General features: G+C 40.6%; 1 long non-coding RNA gene and 1 pseudogene across 1 annotated transcript; one reads left to right on the plus strand and one right to left on the minus strand.

Moving 5' to 3' along the window:
* Positions 1 to 2,125: 2,125 nt before the first annotated feature.
* LINC01801 (long intergenic non-protein coding RNA 1801) lies at positions 2,126 to 18,841 on the minus strand. The gene is made up of 6 exons (NR_033982.1): positions 18,697 to 18,841; positions 18,302 to 18,508; positions 16,378 to 16,498; positions 15,136 to 15,225; positions 4,559 to 4,738; positions 2,126 to 3,462 (listed from the first exon to the last, which is right to left on the minus strand). It is a non-coding gene; the product is annotated as a long intergenic non-protein coding RNA 1801 (long non-coding RNA).
* On the plus strand, positions 11,403 to 11,738 carry LOC100419842 (zinc finger protein 396 pseudogene; annotated as a pseudogene).
* Positions 18,842 to 23,401: the final 4,560 nt, after the last annotated feature.

Consider the following 23,401-nt stretch of genomic DNA (forward strand, 5'->3'; position numbering starts at 1 on the left):
GCAAACATCTGCAACTAGCAGGTGGAAGTTCCAAAGGAACAGCCAGAAAGTCTCACTGGGGAAAGGCCCCTGGGTTTCCACCTTTGCCCTGTGGTGACTTTCCTTCACATCCTTTGCAGTGCACCCTCTGTCATGTAGCCCAGGGAGGCATCACAAATATCAGGATGAAGAGTGCATGGTTTGCCTTGGAAGATTAGGTAGCTAGGAAGCATCTCCAAACTGCATTCTACATCCTCAGTATCAGATAGGTATGCCCTGCTTTTCAAGGGCAATGCTTTTAGGAAGCTTCTCCCCCAGCCTCACTGAATGCCAGTCCCCTGACTATCACCCCACTGGTTCATCCAGACCACTGTGCTCCTCCCTCACTTCTACAGATACCTCAGTCTTCACTGACTAACTGATATGGTTTGGCTCTATGTCCCCACCCAAATCTCATTTTGAATTGTAATCTGAATTGTAATTCCCATGTGTGGAGGGAGGGACTTGGTGGGAGGTGACTGGATTGTAGGGGTGGTCTCCCCCATGCTGTTCTCATGATAGTGAGGGAATTCTCATGAGATCTGACGGTTTATAAGTGGCAGTTTCCTCTGCACTCTCTCCTGCCACCAAGTACGACATGCCTTGCTTCCCCTTTGCCTTCTGCCATGATTGTAAGTTTCCTGTGGCCTCCCAGCCATGTGGAACTGTGAGTTAATTAAACCTCTTTTGTTTATAAATTACCCAGCCCCACATAGTTCTTCATAGCAGTGTGAAAACAGATGAATATATCAACCCATCATTAACTGGCCAACCTTATCACTTCCACTGCCCAGTCAGCCCATCTGCAGACTTGACCTCCCAGCCTGCTTTGAACCTTTGAGATGACCGACATGGACACTACTATTCCCTGGGTCTCATCTCCTGGTCCCCCCAGGACCCAGGGTTAGCCTGGAAGACTCAAGCTCTGGGCTAGGTTTCCTCTGGTCTTGGAACTCCCATTTGACTGGCTCATTGCAGTGTGGAGTGGACAGCCCCCTGCAAAAGGCAGTCCCCACTAACCCACCTATGTTTATGGTAAACAGCCCTACCCCACTTTGAACCTTTCCTTTAGCCCAGAAGCCACCTCTCAGTCACATTTGGAGCTCCTAAAGGGCAGCAGCAAAGAGTCAGTCTTCTAGGATACCTGTCTGCACCATCATACTTATCACTACTTCAGCAATTGTCTGTTTTCTAGTAGCTAGGACCTTGACCAACTGGGCAGCCAAGTCTGCCTTTAACTCTGATGAAATCAATATGGTTACCATGTCCTCTTTCTAGCCTCCCCCTGGCAGGATCCCCCAATGTATTTGATAGCATTTACCCTTTGAGAAACGTAAAATCTCAATACAAGCTCTAAACTGAGCCTTTACTGCAGCCCAGACACCCAATGGGAGCATAATGCCATCAGATTTTGCGTACGTGTTACCTCCATATCCATCTTTGATATCTCTGCTAGCACCCACTCAGCCTTGGGTGGCACCTCGGGTCCTTTTCCCATTTGCACAGCCACTACTTCTAGCTCTGGAGCCATCACTGGATGCTCAGCATCAGGCACAGTTCACCTTTTGCTAACCCCTCTCTCGACCCATTTCCATTCATGGACTCTGGGGCTTCTTTGGATAATGACAGCTCTAGGACCAGTGTGTCTGCCCCAGACCCAGCTCCACATCTGAAGCACTCAGCTTTAGAACAGGGCCTAGAGGGGCATGCAGCACCTTAGTTTATGTTGGGGAGGCTTACACATGAGCACCGGGGTTCCTGCAAGCCTACAGCACCTCTGGTACAGTTGGAGAGGGCAGTACTACTGAAAGCAAAAACTCCTGGGAAACACTTTCCTCCCTGCCTACAGTCAGAGCAGCTGGGGCCTGTCCTGCCAAAGCACACCTCTTAGAACATCACTGAGAAGAAACATGTTCCAGAAGGCACCTCTGTTCCTTCTTGTGTTCATAACACCTGGAAACCATCTGGCCAAAGCACGTCTGTTGTGGTTGGAGGAGCCCGCACATACCAGTGCTTGGGACACTTCTGTCTTGCAGACAGACCACCTGGAATGCAGCTGGCCAGAGCACATCTGCATCCCTCAAAGGGAAGGAGAAAGCAGCACATCTATGCTTGGAGGCCTTTATGTTTCCACCACAAGCAGAGCACCCTGTTGCACCTTTCCAAGCACCTATGTTGCAGTAGCAGGGGACAACACACTACCTGTGACTGCAAGTCTTCTCTTCTTGTGTCTGGTCAGAGCGCTTGGGGCCCATATGGCCTGGGCAAACCTGTTACTGCTGGAGAAGCCTGCACAACAGAGAAGAAACATGTGCCCCAAGATACTTCTGTTCATGACTTCTGTCAAACGCCTTTGGACCACTCAGCTTGAGCACATCTGTTTCTGTTGGAGGGGCTGGTGCCATATCTGTGACTGAAGAAACTACTGTTTATGAATACAATCAGAGCATGTGAGGGCCATAAGTCCAGAGTATAGGCAGTGCAATGCCTGCAATGGGAGGAGATGGCACCATACCTGTAATGGGAGGAGATGGCACCATATATGGGTTTGTTTGGGGGGGACACTTCTGTTCATGAACACAGCCAGAACACCTGGGGTCCACAAGTCCTGAATTCAGGTGTACAATGGGAGGAAACAGCACCCCACCTGTGCCTGCAGAAACTTCTGTCCATGAATAGTCAGAGAGCCTGAGGTCCACAAGTCCAGATTAAAGATGGTGCAATGGCAGGACACAGTCCCACACCTATGCTTACTCGCGAATACAGCCAGAGTGCCTGGGTTCCACAAGTGAGGATTCAGATGGCAAGTAGAGGGTACAGTACCATTCAAGTGTTTGGGTACCCTTCTCACCATCATTCAGAGCAACTGGGACACTGGTGGCTGGAGCACACTTGTTGCAGTCAGATGGGAGAACATGTTGAAGAAGATACTTCCATTCTCACCTTCAATCAGAACACCAGGGGCCTAAGCCAGGGTACCTTCCCTCTTTCATTTTGGAGAAAACAACATCACTGAGAAAATATCTGTGCTTCAGGACCTTTTCCACCTGCTTTTGATCAGGTCAAATGTGCTTCTGTGGTGGGCACGGCAAGCACAGCCTCGTCTTTGGGGCACCCTCGGCACCTGCACAGGGATTCTTTGGGGACAGAAGCATGCAGCATCACCCTATTTGTTTTCTTCTCATGTAAGACTTAGGGTCCTCAGTGACCAAAAGCAAAAGCTTCCTCTAGAAATGGCAGGTGACCACTGTTCCCCATGATTTGATCTTGTTCTGCTGGGAGCAGTTTCTGCTCCTTCTAGTTACGGCAAACAAGCTTCACCTGCCCTTTGTCCTTCTAGCACAAACTGGAAGCCCAAGACCCTGGGGTGTTTGTGAATGTGTCCAAGGACTTGGGTTCAGATGAGCCAAGTCAGAAGTCGACACACTAGCCTAAGATGTTCACCTGTGGAGAGAAGAGAGAGATGGGTGAGTATCAGCCGTGCAACACTACACTCTAGTTTCAGTGTTATCCTGGAAGACCTAAGCTTTGGGGGGGTTTCCTCCTGTCTTGGAACTGTCAGGACACCCACTGCTATCTATGTCTGCCATGTTTCCTCTGCTCATGTGTTTTTGCTCTAACTCAATGATGGAGAAAATACTGACTTGTATAAGCCATGATTGTTGAGCCAGGCTTAACTGTGCAAAGTTTCTGTGGCCCAGGGCCCAGGATCTAGAACATGGAGTTTAAATGTCTTTTTTGCTTGTTTAATTTAGTTGTATGCCAGTAATTCACACACATTCACAATTTTTTTTTTGGCTGCAGGGGGTTGTGGGGGAGAGATGGGGATCTCATCATGTTGCCCAGCCTGGTCTCAAACTTGGCTCAAGTGGTCCTCCCGCCTTGGCCTCCCAAAGAGTTGGGATAACAGGTGTGAGCCACCACGTCCAGCAACATTCACACTTTCACCTATGGATGATTGGCTTGGCAATCAGGCTTTTGGGCCTGGAGGAAAAAAGGAAGAAAGAACTCACGCATGACTGCTCCGTAATTTAAAAAAAATTTAAGTCTGTTAGGATGTAATAGATTACATAGATATTGGTATCATGTTGCTTTGACACATTACAAATGATTATCTTTTAAGGTAAATAGCAGGATAGGTTCTATTTGGAAAAATAACTGGTCTATCTCGAGTCCTAACCACAAAAATATCGTCACAAGATTTATAATTTCACACAGACTTGGCTGACCTTGGAGTTGTACTGTGCTGAAAATACAATCTTTTTAAAGTATTTTACAACCCATGAAGGTATCTTAAGATGGTGGAAAGAAAAATAAAGTACAAGCATTTCCTTCAGCTGCTTACAGATTACAGTTGTCCCTTGAACAATGCGTGGGGGTAAGGGGTGCTGCTTCCCCCACGCAGTCCAAAATGTCTGCATGACTTGTGACTTCCCCAAAACTTAACCACTAGTAGCCTACTGTTGACTGGAGGCCTCACTGATAACATGAACAGTTAACACATTCTGTATGTTATATGTATTATATACAGCATACTTACAATAAGCTAGAGAAAAGAAAATGGATGAGTGGATCATCATAAAGGTTTCATCCTTGTCATTTTCATGTTGAGTAGGCTGAGGAGGAGGAGGAGGATGAAAAGGAGGGGTTGGTCTTGCTGTCTCAGGAGAGGCCGCAGTGGAAGAAAATCCACATGTAAGTGGATCTGTGCAGTTCAGACCTGTGTTGTTCAAGAGTCAATGTATTATATTAAACAGTGCTAGGTCTTGGTGATATAGAATTCAAAGATTTATCTCTTGCAGCCCAGCAATTTACAGTATAGCAGAGAGAGACAGATAGATAAACCAAATATTACACCTGGAAAGATAGTGGTGGCGATACGGGAGTAGGTAAGAAGGACATAAAACTAGGTGTGAGAGAGATGGAAAAAATAAAAAATAATAAAAAAAAGAAGAAGGAAGAAGTGTCCAGGCAGAGAAAGGCTATTTGGGGGTCAAAGAAATAGCATGCTAAAAGTCAGGGAAGACTAATCTGTGTAACAAACCTGCACATGTATCCTGGAACTTTAAATTCAATTAAATTAAATTAAAAGTCAAGGAAGAAAGAGATCATGACCCTGTGGGACACCAGGCAAGTAATCAAATGTGGTTGGAGAGTGAAACCCAAGCTGGGAGATGTGGCTGCTGTGTTCAGCAAGTGCAGATCATGGACAAACAGACATACCATCAGGGGGCATTTGTCCATTATCCACAAAGTATGAGGAATCGTGAAAGGATAAGCAAAGAAGTTACATGATATATGTAGATTTTAGAAACACTCTATGCCTCCCTGAAAGGAAGAATTAAATAGATGCCAGAATAGAAGCAGATAGGCTTAGGAAATTTTTTTGCAGTGATCCAATGCAAAAATGAGCCACTGAGCTCCCAGTCTAGAGGAACTGACAGTGGGATGGTTGAAGAGGTAAGGGAAGAGGCAAGGGGAAGTAGGCGATGCCAACAAGACCAGGGCTATTTTAGCCATCTGGTTTAGATAAACGGACATGAGTTGTTTTGGAAAACATACATTAAGTTAACTTTCTAATAGTCTGACATGGCTATGGAAGACGTAGGTGATATTCATAAAGCCATTCATTTACCCATTTAGTCATCAGTTGGGCATATATATTATTATTTGAGACAAAATGAGTAGTCTAAGGAATACTTTAGGTAATAGCATCAATTTTTTAAAAACAAGGATAAAAATCTTATGAAACCTAATTCTAGTTGGAGAAAATAAAATAAACAACAAATGTAATAAATTAGTAAATTATTTGATAGGTTCCAGTAACAACTGCAGGGAGACGAAGGGCAGCCAACGTAGGATTGAGTTTAGGGCTAGAGAGAAGTGTGAGTTTCTATTTAAATAGACTGGAAATGGTAAACCTCATTGGGAAGGTGGAATCTGAGCAAAGTCTAGAAGGCAACAATTAAGCAAACCACACAGTTATCTGAGGGAAAGGCATTCCAATTAGTTGGACTAGCCACTGTAAAGGCTCAGAGGAAGGATGTCTCTTGCCCGCAGGGAGCAGTGAGCAACTCAATAGGGGACCAGGATGAAGTTGGCACTTTGCAGAGTGGGAAGAAGGGGGAATAGAGATGGAGAGGGATGAAGAGACTAAGTGGGGCCTTGGAGGATGTGATAAGAACATTGCCTTTTACTCACAGATGGAAATCATGGAGGGTTTGGAGCAAAGGATGACGTGATCTGACTGAGGCTTAATAGGATCATTCTGGTTTCTGGGGATGAGAGACCATTTAGGTGGCTATGGTCATAATCATGAAAGCTTGGACACAGTGGTGGTGGTGCAGGTGATGAGAAGTAAAATTTGTAGATATTTTGAAGCATTTTCTGTTGGCCTGAATGGCAGGAGTATGTGTGGAAAAGGAAGAAGGAATCCATAGACTTGCTATTTGAGTTTAGAAAAGGTTTTGGCCTCATCAAGGTATACTCGGTCACTGGGCGTGTGAAAAAAGATGGCCGAGGGAGAATTCCTAGAAGGGGAAAATAGGGAGGGAGGACATGGGAGGATAACAGACTCCTAAATACATGTGGTTGAGTTCATTGGTTGTGCATATGGAAATTACCCCTACCTCAAACCATCACACAAATGATGAATTTAAGATATCAGATAACAAAAAACATGAAAAAAACTAAATCCAGGTACATCATAATCAAACTGCTTAGTCTCTAGGAGAAAATCAAAAGACATCCCAAGAAAAAGCACACATTATGTGTTCCAGTAGAACACATGCATTGTTCTAATGAGAAACAAAGAAAAAGTAAGATGTAGCTACAGACGAATGAACAAAACTTGAATATATTATTTTCAAAAGTTCCCCCGAAACAGAATATGGCACACCTCTCATTGGAAATACACAAGCTAGAACTCAATGAGTTAGCATTTTTTAAAACTCGAAAGAAAAAAATACTGTGAACCTATACCCTGTGAACCTGCCAGAATGTGGAGACACAGGTGCTAAAACTACACCCAGTGAAACTCTTTTAAAAGTGAAGGTACACACACACACACACACAACTCAACCTTTTTATACACGTAAATGCTTATCGCTAGCATACCTTTCATTAAAAAAAAAAAACTAAAGGAAGTCCGGGCAAGATAAAAATAGTGCAAGTTAGAAATCTGGATCTACACAAGCGAATGAGTAGCAATGGAAAAAGTAAATATAAAAATATATGCATATACATACATATGTGTTTGTATGGGGGTGTTTGTGTGTGCATGTCAAACACTTTCTGTAAAAGTAAAATGTATGGCACAATGGCACAAATGATAAGAGAGAAATGGAAGTGTACTGTTCTTATTGTATAGTTCTTATACTATATGTGAAACAATATAATATTACTTGGAGGTAGACTATATATGTTACTCTATATAGTTTATACTATAGTATGTAGTATATCCTATATAATATAAAGAATCACTTTAAAAACACTTAAGAATTATATTTAGTAGGTAAACAAAAGAGATAAAATGGAATCATGAAAATAATCCAAAAGAAGGTATACAAAGAGGAAAAAGAAACAAAGACCAGATGGAACAAACAGGAAGCAACAGCAAAATTGTCAGTGTAAACACAACGACATCTAACCATATTAAATTTAATTGTCTAAATGTATGATTTTAAAGGCAGAGATTGTTAGATTGGATTAAAAATACAAAACTATATGCTATGTATAAAAAAAACACTTGAGGCTGGGAGCAGTGGCTCATGCCTGTAATCCCAGCACTTTGGGAGGCCGAGGCGGGCGGATCATGAGGCCAGGAGATAGAGACCATCCTGGCTAACACGGTGAAACCCCGTCTCTACTAAAAATACAAAAAGTTAGCTGGGCATGGTGGTGGGTGACTGTAGTCCCAGCTACTTGGGAGGCTGAGGCAGCAGAATGGCGTGAACCTGGGAGGCGGAGCTTGCATGAGCCGAGATCGCACCACTGCTCTCCAACCTGGGCGACAGAGCAAGACTCCGTCTCAAAACAAAAGCAAAAACAAAACAAAACAAAACAAAACAAACAAACAAAAAAGACTTGAAACACAAAAACGAATATAACTGAAAGGATAAGGATGGAATAACACCAATGTAAAGAAATCTGGAATAGTTATATCAAATGGAGTAGATTTCAGACAAAGAATGTGATAAGGAATAAAAAGAGTTATTTGATAATGATAAAAGGATTAATTCAACAATAGGTCATAACAATGCTAAATGTTTTTGCACCCAGTACTAGAGCTTCACATTATATGAAACAAGGCTGATAAAACTCAAAAGAGAAGTAGCATATGAGTCAAAGAAATCTCAAGAAAAATTTAAAAAATATTTTGAATGAAATTAAAGTGAAAACTCAACTTAGCAAAATTTGTGGCACACAGAGCATATAGTTCTTAGAAGGAAATTTATAGAAATGGATGCATATATTAGAACAGAAGAAATCTAAAATCAATCTCAACCCTTACCTTAGGAAACTACAAAAAGAAGAGCAATTTAGGTCCAAAGTAAGTGAAATGAAAAATAATTAGAGCAGAAATCAGTGAAATCGAAAACAGGAAAACGATAGAAAAAAATCAATAAAACCAAAATTGACTCTGAAAATATCAATAAAACTGATAAATGTCTAAATAAAATAACCAAGAAAAGGTAGAGAAGACACAAAAAGGAGTATCACTATTGAGTCACAGATATTAAAAGCATAACAAAAATATTAGAATGCCACAAATTTGATAACGTAGATTAAATGGCCAATTCCTTGAAAGACACAGTCTGCCAAAAGGATAGAGAATAGAAATAAGCCTGTATCTATCAAAGTAATTGAATCAACAATCAATAACCTTCCAAAACAGAAAGCACTAGGCCCTGGTGCTTTTACTGGTGAATTCTAAATATTTGAGAAAGAAATTAAGTTCTTTACAAGCAGCTCTAGAAAACCGAGGCAGAGGAAAAACTTCCTAACTCATTCTATGAGAACAGCATTATCCTAGTACCAAAATCAGACAAATCCATTGCAGAAAGGAAAACTACAGATCAATATCTTTCATGAATATAAATGGAAAAAGCCTCAATAAAATATTAACAAATCAAAACAAAAAATGTATAAAAAGAATTATACATTATGACCAAGTGGAATTTATTCCAGGTATGCAAGTCTGATTCAACATTTGAAAATCAATTAATGCAATCTATCATATCAACAGGCTAAAGAAAAAAAGTATATAATCATATCAATAGATGCAGAAAAAGCATTGGAGAAAAATCCAACACCTATTTGTGATAAAAAGCTTTCAGCAAACTAAGAATTAAGAGTAGAATATTCTCAACTTGATAAAACATCTACCAAAAAAACCTACATTATATTTAACGGTGATAAACTAGGTGCTTTTCTTCTAATACTGGGAACAAGGCAAGGACTTCTACTCAACATGGTAATGAAGCAAGATAAGCAAAGGACGGAAAATATATACAGACTGGGAAGGAGAAATAAAACTGTCATTTTTGGCAGATACATAATTGTCTATATAGAAAACCCCTAAGAATCAATAACAACAACAAATGACCTCTAACAACTAATAAGTGATTATAGTAAGGTTGCAGGATACAAGATTAATACACAAAAGACAAGTGTTTTCTTATGTAGTAGAAATGAATAATTGGAATTTCAAGTTAAAAACACATAATACCTATAATACCATTTACATTAGCTCCTCCAAATATGAAATATGTAGGTATAAATCTAACAAAATATGCACAAGATTTATATGAGGAGAATTGTAAAACTCTGATGAAAGAGATAAAAAATCTAATCAAACGGAAAGATATTCCATGTTCATTTTTAGAAAGACTCAATATTGTTGAGATGTGATTTATTCTCAAATTTACTGTATTTCAACAAAATCCCAATAGAAATACCAGCAAGTTACTTTGTGGATATTAACAAACTGATTCTAAAGTTCATATGGAGAGTCCAAAGGACCAGAATATCCAGCGCAGTATTAAAGAACAAAGCATATTGACACTACCCAACTTCAAGACTTACTATAAGGCTACAGTAGTCAAGACAGTGTGGTATTGAAGAAAAAGCAGATAAATTCATTAATGGAACAGAATAAAGAGCCCAGAAATAGACCATACAAATATAGTTAACTGATATTTGACCAAGGAGCACAGGCAATTCAATGGAGAAATGATAGCTTTTTCAACAAATGGTGCTGGAACAACTGGACTTACACATGTAAAAAGTTTAACTTGGACACTGACCTTACAACTTTCACAAAAATTAACTCAAAATCTACCATAAACCCAGATGTAAAAATTATAAAACTTTTAGAAGATAACAGGAGAAAAATCTAAGCGATCTAGGGTTTGGCAATAACTTTTTAGATACAACACAAAAAGCTTGATCCATGAAAGAAAAAAAAAGATAAATTGGACCTCATTAATATTAAAAACTACTGCTCGGTAAAGACTATTAAGAGAATGAAAAAATGAGCCACTGACTAGGAGAAAATTATTTGTAAAACACATCTCTGATAAAGGACTGGTAATTGAAATATAAAAAGACCTCTTAAAATTCAATAGTAAGAAAACGAACAATCAATTAAAAAGTGGCCAAAATCTGAACAGACACCTCAACAACAAAAATATACAGATGACAAATAAGATATGAAAATATGCTTAACATCCTGTGCTTAGGTAAGAGCAAATTAAAATAATGAGACACCACTACTTACGTATTAGAATGGCTAAAATCCAAAACACTGACAACACCAAATGCTGGTAAGGATGTAGAGAAATGGTATATCCACTTGGAAGACACTTTGGTGGTTTCTTACAAAACTAATCATACTCTTACCATATGATTCAGCTATTGTGCTCCTAAGTATTTACCCAAATGAGTTGATATCTATGTCCACATAAAAACTTGTACAAAATGGCTGGGTGCAGTGGCTCATGCCTGTGATGGCTTGAGCCTAGACGCTCGAGAACGGCCTACCGCAACATAGCCAGACCTTTACCTCTACAAAAATTAAAAAATTGGCTGGGCATGGTGGCATGTGCCTGTAGTCCCAGCTACTTGGCAGGCTGAGGCAGAAGGATCGCTTGAGCCCAGGAGTTCAAGGGTGCAGGGAGCTGTGATTGTGCTACTGCACTCCAGCCTGGGTGACAGAGCAAGACCTGGTCTTAAGAAAAAAATGGCAACACGGTTTCTCTACGGCCCCCACCGGCCACCAGGACCAGAAGCAGCTGCGAAGCCAGCCTTCCCCAGTTTCTCCCTGACAGCGCTGGGTTCGCCCTTCCCCACCACGAAGAGTGTCCATAAGGAGAGCTCCACCTTCTCTGACTGAGGCCGGAGGTGCACACAAAGGCGCAGATCCTGGAGCTGCTGGTGCTGGAGCAGTTCCTGGCCATCCTCCCAGAAAAGCTGCAGCCCTGGGTGCAGAGGCATCATCCAGAAAATGGAGAGGAAGCTCTGACTATGCTGGAGGATGTGCAGAGAGCGCTTGATGGACCAAAGCAGATCTTCTTTTTTGGACGAAGGAGGGACACGGTTGCAGAGAAGCTAGCACCTTCAGAAATCACTGAGCAATTGCCAACTAGCCAGCGCACGCCCGTGAAGAAGCAGCTCCAGCGAGAATCATGGGAGCTGCAGTCCTTAAGACCACATGATGAAGACATCAAAACTATAAATGTGAAATCCGCTTCAAGGCAAAAGACTTCTTCAGGCATAGAACTGCATTGCGATGTTTCGAACATCCTCGGTATAAATGCCTCCCAGAGTTCCACATATAGAGGAATGTATGAACAAGATGATTCAAAATATGAACATAGGATTGCAGAGTCCCAAAAGAATATGTACTTCAAGACTAGGCTGAAGTGTCCCAGGTCACTGTCAGGAGGCAGATAAATAAAGGGCCTTAATCTCTTATGAAAGCTCACAAGACCCTCCATACTATTGATGATATCAAGTTAATTTCCTGTGTTGGAAAAAAATAATCTCCTTTGCAATGTAATTTGGAAATAACTCAATGGAAACATTAAAATGACTGCATGTCTACAAGCAGTCACCTAAACATAAGGAATGTTTTCATAATGAGCAATATCATTCTATGGGTGCTTCTGTAAGGTGGATGATCACCTTAACATAAAGGAAAAAGGGAGATGAACAAAATTGTCAAACAAGACTGATGTACCACAAGTGTTGGCAAGTGCAGTGTGTGATGGAGAAATGTACCACAGCTTAACTGGAAGAGCAAGCCCTTAACTGCTGATCACAATGCCTCAGTGTCCCCTTCTCCAGCATAAATCAGCATGAATATGTTTCAAGCATCACAAGACAACCTTTTCAGAGTCTCCTGCATTCTTAGTAAGATGAGTTTCTAGACATGCTCTCATGAAATGATACCCTGGATTTTGATGTTCTTGTACATACGAACAAATCACTGAAGTTCAATTTAAAGGGTCCACTGCAGTCCTTTATAAACAATTGTTGAACCTAACCTTTATAGTTAATAAGTTTTAAGACAACATTTTTGGGATATCTTATTTGGCTTATCTATGAGATATGAGCACCTATAAGTTTTACCTGTATTTAATTCAGTCAGATTTCCTGTTTAAAAATAAAATTACTGACTTGTACATTATTAAAGTTATTTTGACAGTATAAACACAGCATAATTATCTCTTTTCCAGAGATTCTTGATAAAATTCTGTAATGTTATTACAAGAATACATGTATTGTGTTTTCCATGGTGCTACAGTTAACCAATATGGAGGCAAACATCAGAAATCAAAGCCCTTGGAAAAAGGGAAGAGGATCTTAGTCAACTTCTTTGGTTGGGTTCCTCATAGAGTGTAAAACATTTCATTCTCAGAAAATCCAACCATATCTTAGAGTAGCTCCAGAAATTGGCTTAGAGGAGCTCCGGAAATGTGGAGTGACCACACTCTGCTTAGTTAGTATGCTAATACATGTAAGATCAGTAGGAGGAGAAATGAATGTGAATTTTATTATAGAATTTTCTGAGAGTGATTATGCTTTATAGCTCCAGTGAATATGAATATGTATTGAGTTGTATTTTCAGTCATTAAAAATGTAGGATACTTTTTATTTGGGCCTCATTCTCTTTGTAATTAAAGAGAGGAACAAGCCCATCTATTGTAACAACAAATGCCTCAGAGATATGTGTATTGTGAATTACTGCTTAATTATGGAAAAAGTTTCTTAGGTTCTATGCCATCAACTTTGTAAGATTGCATTCTCTTTCTTGTGAATAATTTGAATGCCTCCACCAGGAAGTGGTGCGAATCATATCATCTAAGTATATGATGAATCTTTAAGGGGTGTTGCTGTGTAATTTGAATTATTTTGCAGTTATGTAGCTATCCTAATGAGTGAATGGTACTAGTTTACATATAAGGAGAACTACTTGAGCTAACCTTGATTTTAAAAAATTAGCATTAGCACCCCCATTATATTAATTTTCAGAGATAGTAAATACTCCAAAATGAAACAAACAAAAATAACAACAACAACAAACACCTTGCACATGAATGTTTGTAGCGGTTTTAATCATAATTGCCCCAAATTAGAAGCAACCAAAATGTCCTTCAAAAAGTGAATAGATAAACCAACTGTGGTATATCTATGCAATGGAATATTATTCAGCAATATGAAGAAATGAGCTGTTGAACCATGAAAAGAGATGGAAGAACATTAAATTCATGCTGCAAAGTGAAAGAAGCCTGTCTGAATAGGTTAAATACTGTATGATTCCAACTATACGACATTTGGAAAGGCAAAACTAGAGACAGTAAAAAGATCAGTGGTTGCTAGGAGTTTGGGGGAGGAAGGGATTACATGGAGCACAGGAGATTTTTGGGGTAGTGAAACTATTCTGTATGATGCTACAGTATGGGTACATGACATTATGCAATTGTCAAAAACCACAGAACTGTATGACAGGTAGAGTTAACCATAATGTGTACTATAGACTTTAGTTAATATATTAATATTGGATCATTAATTGTAACAAATGTACCACATGAATCCAAGTTGTTAGTAACAGGATAAACTGTGTACGTACGGGTGGAGAAGATACACGAGAACACACTGCACTTTCTCCTCAATTTTTCTGTGAAACTAATACTGTTCTAAAATAAAGTTTGTTAATTTAATAAAAAGTAAGATTACAGAAGTTGTAACTTGACTTTATTGGTATTTGTAAAACATATAACCCAACACCAGCTGAACACATGTTTCTTTTCAAGAGCACATGGAATGTTCATTAAGATTGGGCCAAAAAATAAATCTTAATAATTTTGAGATTAATATGTTTTCTCTGATCACAATAGAATTTTTGTAGATCTATCTACAAAATTGTAGATATCTACAATATGATATCTACAAAATCCTAAAATTTACAGATTAAATATTAAATAAATAAATACTATAATAAATATTAAATTTAAATAGTTAAATATTTAAAATACTCATATTCATATTTAGAATGAAAGCAAGACACACTTTTATATAATCAATATATTAAAAAATAACAAGGAAAAATATAAAATATTTTGGACTGAATAAGCAAAACACAGCAAATCAAAATTTGTGATAGACAGCTAAAGTGTGGCAGCTTTAAGCGTTTATGTTTAAAACAGAAACATTTTAAGAAACAATGATTTAGGTTTCTACCCTGAGTAGAAGAATCAAGGAATAAATTAAATATAAAATGAATGGAAAAGAAGAAATAATAAAAATAGACACGGAAATAGAAATGATAGAGACACATTAATTCTATTAATTTCTATTTATAGACATTTCTATATATAATATAGAAATTATAAAGTGTAATAAAATGGAGAAACCTCTATCAAGATTGAAGAAGAAATAACAAAGAGAAAACTCAAATTACCAATATTAGGAATAAAAAGGGAAGGGCATGAGTCAGATCTGAAAGACATTAAAAGGGTAATGGGGAATTATAAACATCCTCTAAGAAAAAATATGCAGTTCCAGACGGTTTTTCAGGTGAATTCTATCAAATGTGTAAGAACAATATTTTACCTGTGTTACACAAACTCTTTCAGAAAGTGGAGAAAGGGGCAACTTTTCGTAACTCATTCTATAAGGCCAGTATTACTCTAATATCAAAACCTAACAAGAAGAGAAAATTACAGATTAATATCGCTCATAACATAGACACAAAAGTCTTTGGCAACACTTTAGGAAAACCAAATATAAAAAGATGATCTTTTGTGACTAAGTAAGTTTTTCCCCAGGAAGGCAAAGATTCATTTAACACCTAAAAATCAATCAATGTAATTCATCATATTAAGAGAATAAAAGAGAAATGTCCTATGGTGATCTCAATAGCTGTGGGTCTCACACCACTTACCAAAAACATTCTAAGTAAAGCAGGAATTCGAGAGAATTCATTTCTGTGATAAAGCATATCTACAAAAAATCTTCAGTTAATACCATACTGAATACTCTTAACCTATGATTAGGAACTGGGAAAGAATATCCATTGTCTCTTCTTGTATTTGATAGTTTCCTGGATGTTGCAGCAAATGTAGAAGATAAGAAAAATTAATAAAAGGCATAGAGATTAAAAGAGAAGAAAGAAAAGTGCCTTTAAGCACAGAAAACGTTTGTCTATGTAGAACATCTGAAAGAGGGCTGGGCACAGTGGTTCACACTTGTAATCACAGCACTTTGGCAGGCCGAGGTGGGCAGATCACCTGAGGTCAGGAGTTCAAGACCAGCCTGGCCAATATGGTGAAACCTGGTCTCTACTAAAAAAACAAAAATTAGCTGGGCATGGTGGCACATGCCTATAATCCCAGCTACTCAGGAGGCTGAGGCAAGAGAATCGCTTGAACCCAGGAGGCAGAGGATGCAGGGAGCTGAGATTGCACCACTGTACTCCAGCCTAGGGGGGATACAGCAAGACTAAAAAAAAAAAAACACTAAAGAATCTACAAAGAAACTACAAAATGTAAATAGAAAATGAGCAAGGTTTCAATACAAAAGTAAATATATCAAAAGCAGTTGTTTTGTCCATATACTACTATATGCCAATATATGTATATAGTACGTGAGTACACACACACACACACACACACACACACACACACACACACACACACCCCATCATCATCATCATTTTCAGGGGCTAGGGAAGTTGATATTGGTCAATTATCAATCTCACCCAGGGCCCTGACAGCTGGCCTATGGAATTATTGCAAGTGATATTGGTGCCCTTGGGGCATAAAGCTTTTAAGCTAGCATGGATCTTGTATCTACCTGATGTACATCTTATGTCCTCGTTCCTGGGAGAAGACAGCTCACAGACAGCTGAGTTTTTGGCTGCACATCCTACTTAGAAGAGAAATGCCTGATTGTGCCATGCTGACAAGTGTTGGTCCTGGCAAATACAGAAGGAAATAAAGAGAAATAAAAAGCATGTAGATTACAACAGAAGGAAAACTAGCTTTATTCACAGAAACATGATTCCTAGAAACATTATTGTGTATGTAGAAAATCCTATGGAATCTGCAAAGAAACTACCTGAAATCAAAAGCGATTTCAGTGAGGTTCAATATACAAACTCAATATGTATGCATATATACATTTATGTACATACACAGTCATGCACCTCATAACAAGGTTTTGGTCAACAATGAACTGCATATACGACAGTGTTCCCATAAGATAATATGACATTGTTACTGTTTCTTTTCTGTGTTTAGATATATTTAGATACACAAAGACTTAACGTTGTGTTACAATTGCCTCAAATTCAGTATATGCCGTACAGGTTTGTAGCTACAGGCTATACCATATGGCCTAGGAGTATAGTCAATTATACCATCTAGGTTTGTGTAGGTACAGTCTATGATGTTTGCACAATGACGAAAATCACCTAATGATGCATTTCTCAGAAGGTATTCCCATTGTTAAAGCGACACTGGACTGTATTATATGTATTACCTATATTCTACCAATGAACTATCAAAAATTAAAATTTAAAAGATTCCATTTACAATAGCATTTACAAACCCCATAGAATACTTAGAAATAAATTAGCAAAAGCTGTGGAAGATCTATGCACAGACAACTGCAAAACAGTTGCAAATTTTCTCTTAAAAAGCCAGATAGTATGAGGTTGGTACAAAAGTAATTGCGGTTTGAAAGTAATGGCAAAAACCACAATTACTTTTGCACCAGCCTAATAAGTAGCATAGCCTTTGTGGGTCACGTTGTCTGTGACACAGACTCTTTGTGTTTCTGTGTATTCTGCTGCAACTCTTTAAAATTGTTAATAGGATCCTTCACTCACTGGCCTTACATGTAGGCTACAGGCTAAATTTGTTGGCCCATAGGCTGCAGTGCTGACCCTTGCTGCGAAATATTTCTAGGAGAAAATACTCAAGACCTAAATCTATGGAGATATATATCATCCCTGTGGCCTGGAAAAGTTAATATTGGCAAGTTGTCCATCTTGGCCAGGACCCTGAAAGATAGTCTATGTTATTGTAAGAAAGATTGGTGTCCTTGGGGGCATGGGCTTTTAAGCCAGGGTGGAATCTGCAGAAGTCTGAGGTGCCATTTCCTGTCCCTATACCTGGGAGAAAATAGCTCTCAGACAGCTGTGTGGCTTTCTGCAAAGCTCAATTAGAAGAGAAATTATCAGGCGTGGTGGCGCATGCCTGCAGTCTCAGCTACTTGGGAAGCTGAGGTGGGAGGATCTCTTGAGCCCAGGAGTTCGAGGTTGCAGTGAGCTGTGACTCCAGCCTGTGTGACAGAGTGATACGCTGTCTGGAGAAATTCATCATGGAGATATGCTGATAATTGGTGGTCCCTGCCTACATCCTCCCAGGAGACTGAGCCAGACCCGGTGTGGCCAATGGTCCACTTATAAATTGAACCATGTTAGACCTCCTAACAGTGCAAGTACTCATTACAGCTCTGACATGGTGCTAAGCACCCCAAGTATTATAAACAAGTGTAATCCATTATGCACACACGGTGAGGCTACACCAAAGTCTGGTGGTTAAATGCATGATCTGTGGAATCAGACAGCATGGGTTCAAACCCTGGCTGGGGTGAGATGGGGAACTTTCTAAGGCTTAAATGCTGTTTTACCAAATATTTTAAAAGAAGTGAAAATACACTGCCTGTTAGAAAGGGAAGTTTTGGGGTGAAGCATGTGGGCAGTTTAGAATACCTGGTGTCCACCTCAGAAACCATCACAGCCCAGATGTTATAGGTTCAGGCCTTTCCAGGGCGGGCACATAGAATGTCCTCGCCTCCAAGGTTTGGAGAGCTGCGCTATAAAGGTTCTTGCAGGCGGTGTCCTGAGCCCAGAGCTGCCTGCAGGCGGGCAGGAGTTGTGGGGGTGTTGGCATGATCTGGTGTCCTCTGTGGCGGCTGCCTGAAAAGAAGAGGCCGAGGGTTCTTTGTCCTATGTCTCTCCGAATCTTAATACCTGCCCTGCAGCAGACTCCCTGGCTGCCAGGGCACACCGGTCACCCCGGTAGACGGTGCCGCCCCGCCCTCGCCAACCCCTTATCCCAACTCCCATTTCCAGCCTTCCAGGAAGCCCGATCCCCACCCCCGCACCATGTGAGCTGCTCCTCTACTCCGCGTAGGGGAGGCTCTGCCTCCGGTGACCCCGAGGGAAAGAGCTAGAGCACCCACAGGTGCTGACTGCTGCGGCGCTGAGGACGCTGCACACCCGTTCACCGGCTGACCCAGTGCTGCTGACAACCAGCGTCCGCGGCCCCCAACCGTCGAACAGAGCGCGTGGGACCATCTGGTGCCAAACGCCTGCAACGGAGTGCAGAAGGTCACGAGGCGCTAGAGACCGGTTGGGGGCAGGCGGTTGGGCCTTGACGCTCTTTGCTGGGCGTCGTTTTTTCTTCTCGCCCCCTTCGCTCCTGTGCGCTTAGTGCACAAGCCCTGGGCTCACACACCCTTTCTCTGTCACGTGTTCCAACAGCATCTCACCTGCATCGGGCTGAACAGGAGACCTCAATTTTCTCCTCTACTCCAAGGATTCGCCGGCTCACAATTGCTCTTCATATCTTCAGCAAGCTTTGTCTGTGCCCTGCCCCTCTGTCCCCCATTGCCTACCATACCCGCTCCCACCAAGCCTGCATCACCTCGCTGTCTCTGTGCCTCTCCCCGGCCCCCTTCCAGGCCTTTCTCCCACAATTTCTGGTCTTTGCTCCTGGGTGTTCCGTCGACCCTAAGAGGCGGTGTCTGATCTGGCAGGCTCAATGCCTTTCTCTGGCGCTGTCTGCACCTCCAATATATTCAGTGACTCAGGAAGGATCCATCCTGCAGGGCCCAGATAGACTCTCCTGTTTGCCACCTGAGCAGAAAGGCACCTCTGTGAGGTCTTTGCCACCCAGTCACCCTACCAGACCCAATCAGCACGTGGGAGACGTGGATGACAGGAGGACAGAGATGGAGAGGGACCAAAAGACTACATGGGGCCTTGAAGGATGTCATAAGAACGTTGCCTTTTACTGAGAGATGGGAACCATGGAGGGTTTCAAACTGCTGAGACTGGCATGATATGACTTAGGGCTTTTTTGTTTGTTTGTTTGTTTGTTTTTTCTTTTTTGTGACGGAGTCTCAGAGTCTTCCTCTGTCATCCAGGCTGGAGTGCAGTGGTGTGATCTTGGTTCACTAGAACCTCTGTCTCCCGGGTTCAAGACATTCTCCTGCCTCAGCCTCCCGAGTAGCTGGGATTACAGGCACCCACCACCACGCCCGGCTAATTTTTGTCTTTTTAGATGTTTTATCTCAGAGAAAGAGCTTCCATGTTCTCTAACTCTTGTAAACAGGTATTCTTCAAGAAACTTTACAATATAACATTCATACACAGAAGTGTACAAATCATCTGTCTATTCCTCAATACATTTTTGCAGAATGAACAAACCTATGTAATCTAGATCAAGAAGCAAAACACAGGCACCTCAGAATCAACCTCATGCTCATTCCTAGTCACTATGCCCCTCCCAAATTTTTAACATTATAGATTAGTTTTGCCTATTTAAAAACTTTATATAAATGGAACCCTACCATGTGTCCTGTTTGTGGCTGTGTCTTTTCATTCAACACTTCATAAAATTCATCCATGTTGTTGCTTTTAGCAGCACTTTATTCTTTTATATTGCTGTGTGATGTTCCATTGAACAAATATAATTTACCCATTCTATTATTGATGGATGTTTGGCTATTAGAAATAATAATGCTACTGTGGCTAGGTGTAGTGGCTCATGCCTGTAATCCTAGCAGTTTGGGAGACTGAGGAGGGAGGATTGCTTGAGACCAAGAGTTCAAGACCAACCTGGCCAACATAGTGAGACCCCCATCTCTCTTTAAAAAAAAAAAAGAAAGAAATAATGCTGCTGTGAACATTCATGTGTATGTTTTCGACTACTTCTGAGGTAGGACGCAGGACTCGACTCCAGAGCCGGGGCTTGGACACTGGAGCAAATTGAGGACTAGCTAAAACAGGGTCAGGGTGGAAGCAGCTTTCCATCAGACACACCCACCAGTGTGCTATGTCAGTTTACATTTGTCATGGCAACATGCAGGAATTACTGCTCCTTTCCATGGCAATGACCCAATGACCCAGAAGTTACTACCCTTTTCCTAGAAATTTCAGCATAAACCACCCCTTAATCTGCATGCAATTAAAAGTAGATGTAAATATGACTGCAGAACTGCCCTGAGCTGCTGCTCTCTGCGCCCTGCCGATAGAGTAACCGTGCTCTGCAGGAGCAGTCACAGAGCTGTAACACTGCCTCTTCAATAGAGCTGTCTTCTTCCACCACCAGCTCACCCTTGAATCCTTTGCTGGGTGAAGCAAAGAACCCTCCCAAGCTAAGCCCCAATTTGGGCTTGCCTGCCCAGCATCACTTCCAATATCATGGAAATTTTCAGTGATGCCTACTATGAGGTTTATTGCTTAACTTTTCACATTTAGCTCTGGAATTCTCCTGTCGATTTGCATGTCTTTTGTAGATTTATTTCATGTTTATTGATGCTACTATAAATCCTCTGAAGGGATTTACCTTTGGATGTAGAAGGCAGCTAGGATGGGAAAGCACACTTTATTCTGAGATTAATGTAAGTCAGAGCCATGCTTCACTCTTTTTGAAGGCTGGCTCTCTCCTGTTATCCTTATTTCTGGGATACTGGCTTTCAGACGTTTTACATGAAAACCTGAGTATTTTTTGGGGACCCTCTTCATTGGCAGGTCCTGACTCTGAATTTTTTTCTCAGCAGCCGCTGAAATTGCTGAATTTTACCTCCAAAACTTGATTTGAAAAAAACGAAGCAAAGGTAGAAAGAATATCATTCTAAAATCATTGTTTTATAAACAGATTTTGCTACGTAGATGCAATTGGCCATAATAATGGCAGAGAAGGCCAGATTTTCTTTCTAACTGTTATAACAGTTTTTAAACATGAAAAAGGTTCATTTAGAAAACAATGTTAAGGTAGGGGCACGGCAGAGAATGGGAAGATGGTCAGCCGGGAGGAGCAGTGCAAGAAGAGAGCAAAGACACAAGCACTCTTGTGTGCAGAAAAGGCATGGTGAACATAGGGGTAAAAATCACTAGCCCTTCTCGGAGCAATTCCAACATTATCTGAAGGAAAGTCCATGGACCATGAGAACCCCCCACCTTCTGAGACACATATATCTGGACTGTGGGACTTTGACCCATGTTGGATCAGCCAGATCCCCTCTCCCTGGAGCAGTTTGTCGGCACAGGAAGAGAACAGCTCAGCCCTTGGAGAGAGAGTCACTTATGGGTAGGATGCCCTGGCTTCCTATGGCTGGCAAGTGTGAAAGTTGATTATATAAATTGAGCCATTCTTGTTATACCCAACTAAAACAGAATTGGAAGGCCAGGAGGAGAAAACACACTCAGGGCACGCCAAGAATGTAATTCTTTGCAAGCCTAGCTGCTGAAATTGCCTGCTGTAACCCAAAAACGGTTTTATGTAGTAGCTTCTGAAACAACCTGCCGGACTCTATGATTACTTTTACCCACTGCTATCACTTACCAATCAGAACTTGCCAGCTCCCCAAAACTTTACTAGTGCCAATGAGTTGTCTTTGCAAAATAAATTGTCTTTGCTCTTTTAACGAAACCTCTTTCTATTTGTTCTTCTAAAAGGCTGCCCAGTTGTGTGCCCTGAATTGCAATTTTCACTTCCCAAATAAAACAGTTTATATTTATAGAGATTTATCTCTGTATTTTGATTTCGACCCAACGCCCTGATTTGCTCACTGCTGTGATCCAGTTGTACCTCCAGGTTCAGTCAATCCTCTCCAATTCTTCAAGGATTGTCCCAAGATAGGTTAGTTTTGGCTGTCCTAGCTTTTCATATAAATAGGGACATGCAGTATGCATTCCTGTGCAAGGATTCTTTTCACTTAGCAGAATGCTGTGCTTTTGTACTTTTGTTGTCTGTCATCAGGGGTTATTTTCTTTGATAGCTGAGTAATATGAATACTTCATAATTTCTTTTTCTATTCTCATGTGGATTGGTATCAGGGATATTTCCATATTATGCTTATTATGAATAAGGCTTTTATGAATTTTGCCTACTATGCAAGGCTTTTTGTGTCATGCAAGCCTTTTTGTGTACATATGTTTTCATTTCTCTCAAGGAAATAATTCAGAATGGAAGCACTGAGTAAGAATAAGTATATATTTAGTTTTATAGTAAGTTTTATGACATTCTTTCAATGTGATTGTACCATTTCATATTATCATTGCAATGAGAAATCTTCCATGTTTTCATTTCTCTCAAGGAAATAATTCAGAATGGAAGTGCTGAGTAAGAATGTGTATGTTTACTTTTATAATAAGTTTTATGACATTTTCTCAATGTGATTGTACCATTTTATATTATTACTGCAAGTGAGAAGTGTTCCAAGCGCTTTACATCCCTACAGGCATTCTGGTGGATGTGCAATGGCATCTCAGTGTGGTTTTCATTTAAACTTCCCTGATGATTAATAATATTGAGCATTTTTGGTGGGCCTGTTGAACATTTCTGAATCAACTTTTGGAAAGGGATTATTGCTCAAATGTTTTGTCCAGTTTTTTTAATTGGGTGGTTTGCCTTATTGTTATTCTATCATTATTATTGTTAGGTTTTGAAGGGAAGGGGAGAGAGAGAGAGTTGGTGGCTCTACAGCAACACAGGTTTATTGCCAGTACAACTTGCAGAGAGGGGACCAGCTTGGTGCCAGAGCTCACTGCTGCTTACAGGCTGGGGTAATTACAGGTCTG

The sequence above is a fragment of the Homo sapiens genome, chromosome 19 (genome assembly GCF_000001405.40).
Source record: "Homo sapiens chromosome 19, GRCh38.p14 Primary Assembly".
Classification (NCBI taxonomy): Eukaryota; Metazoa; Chordata; class Mammalia; order Primates; family Hominidae; genus Homo; species Homo sapiens.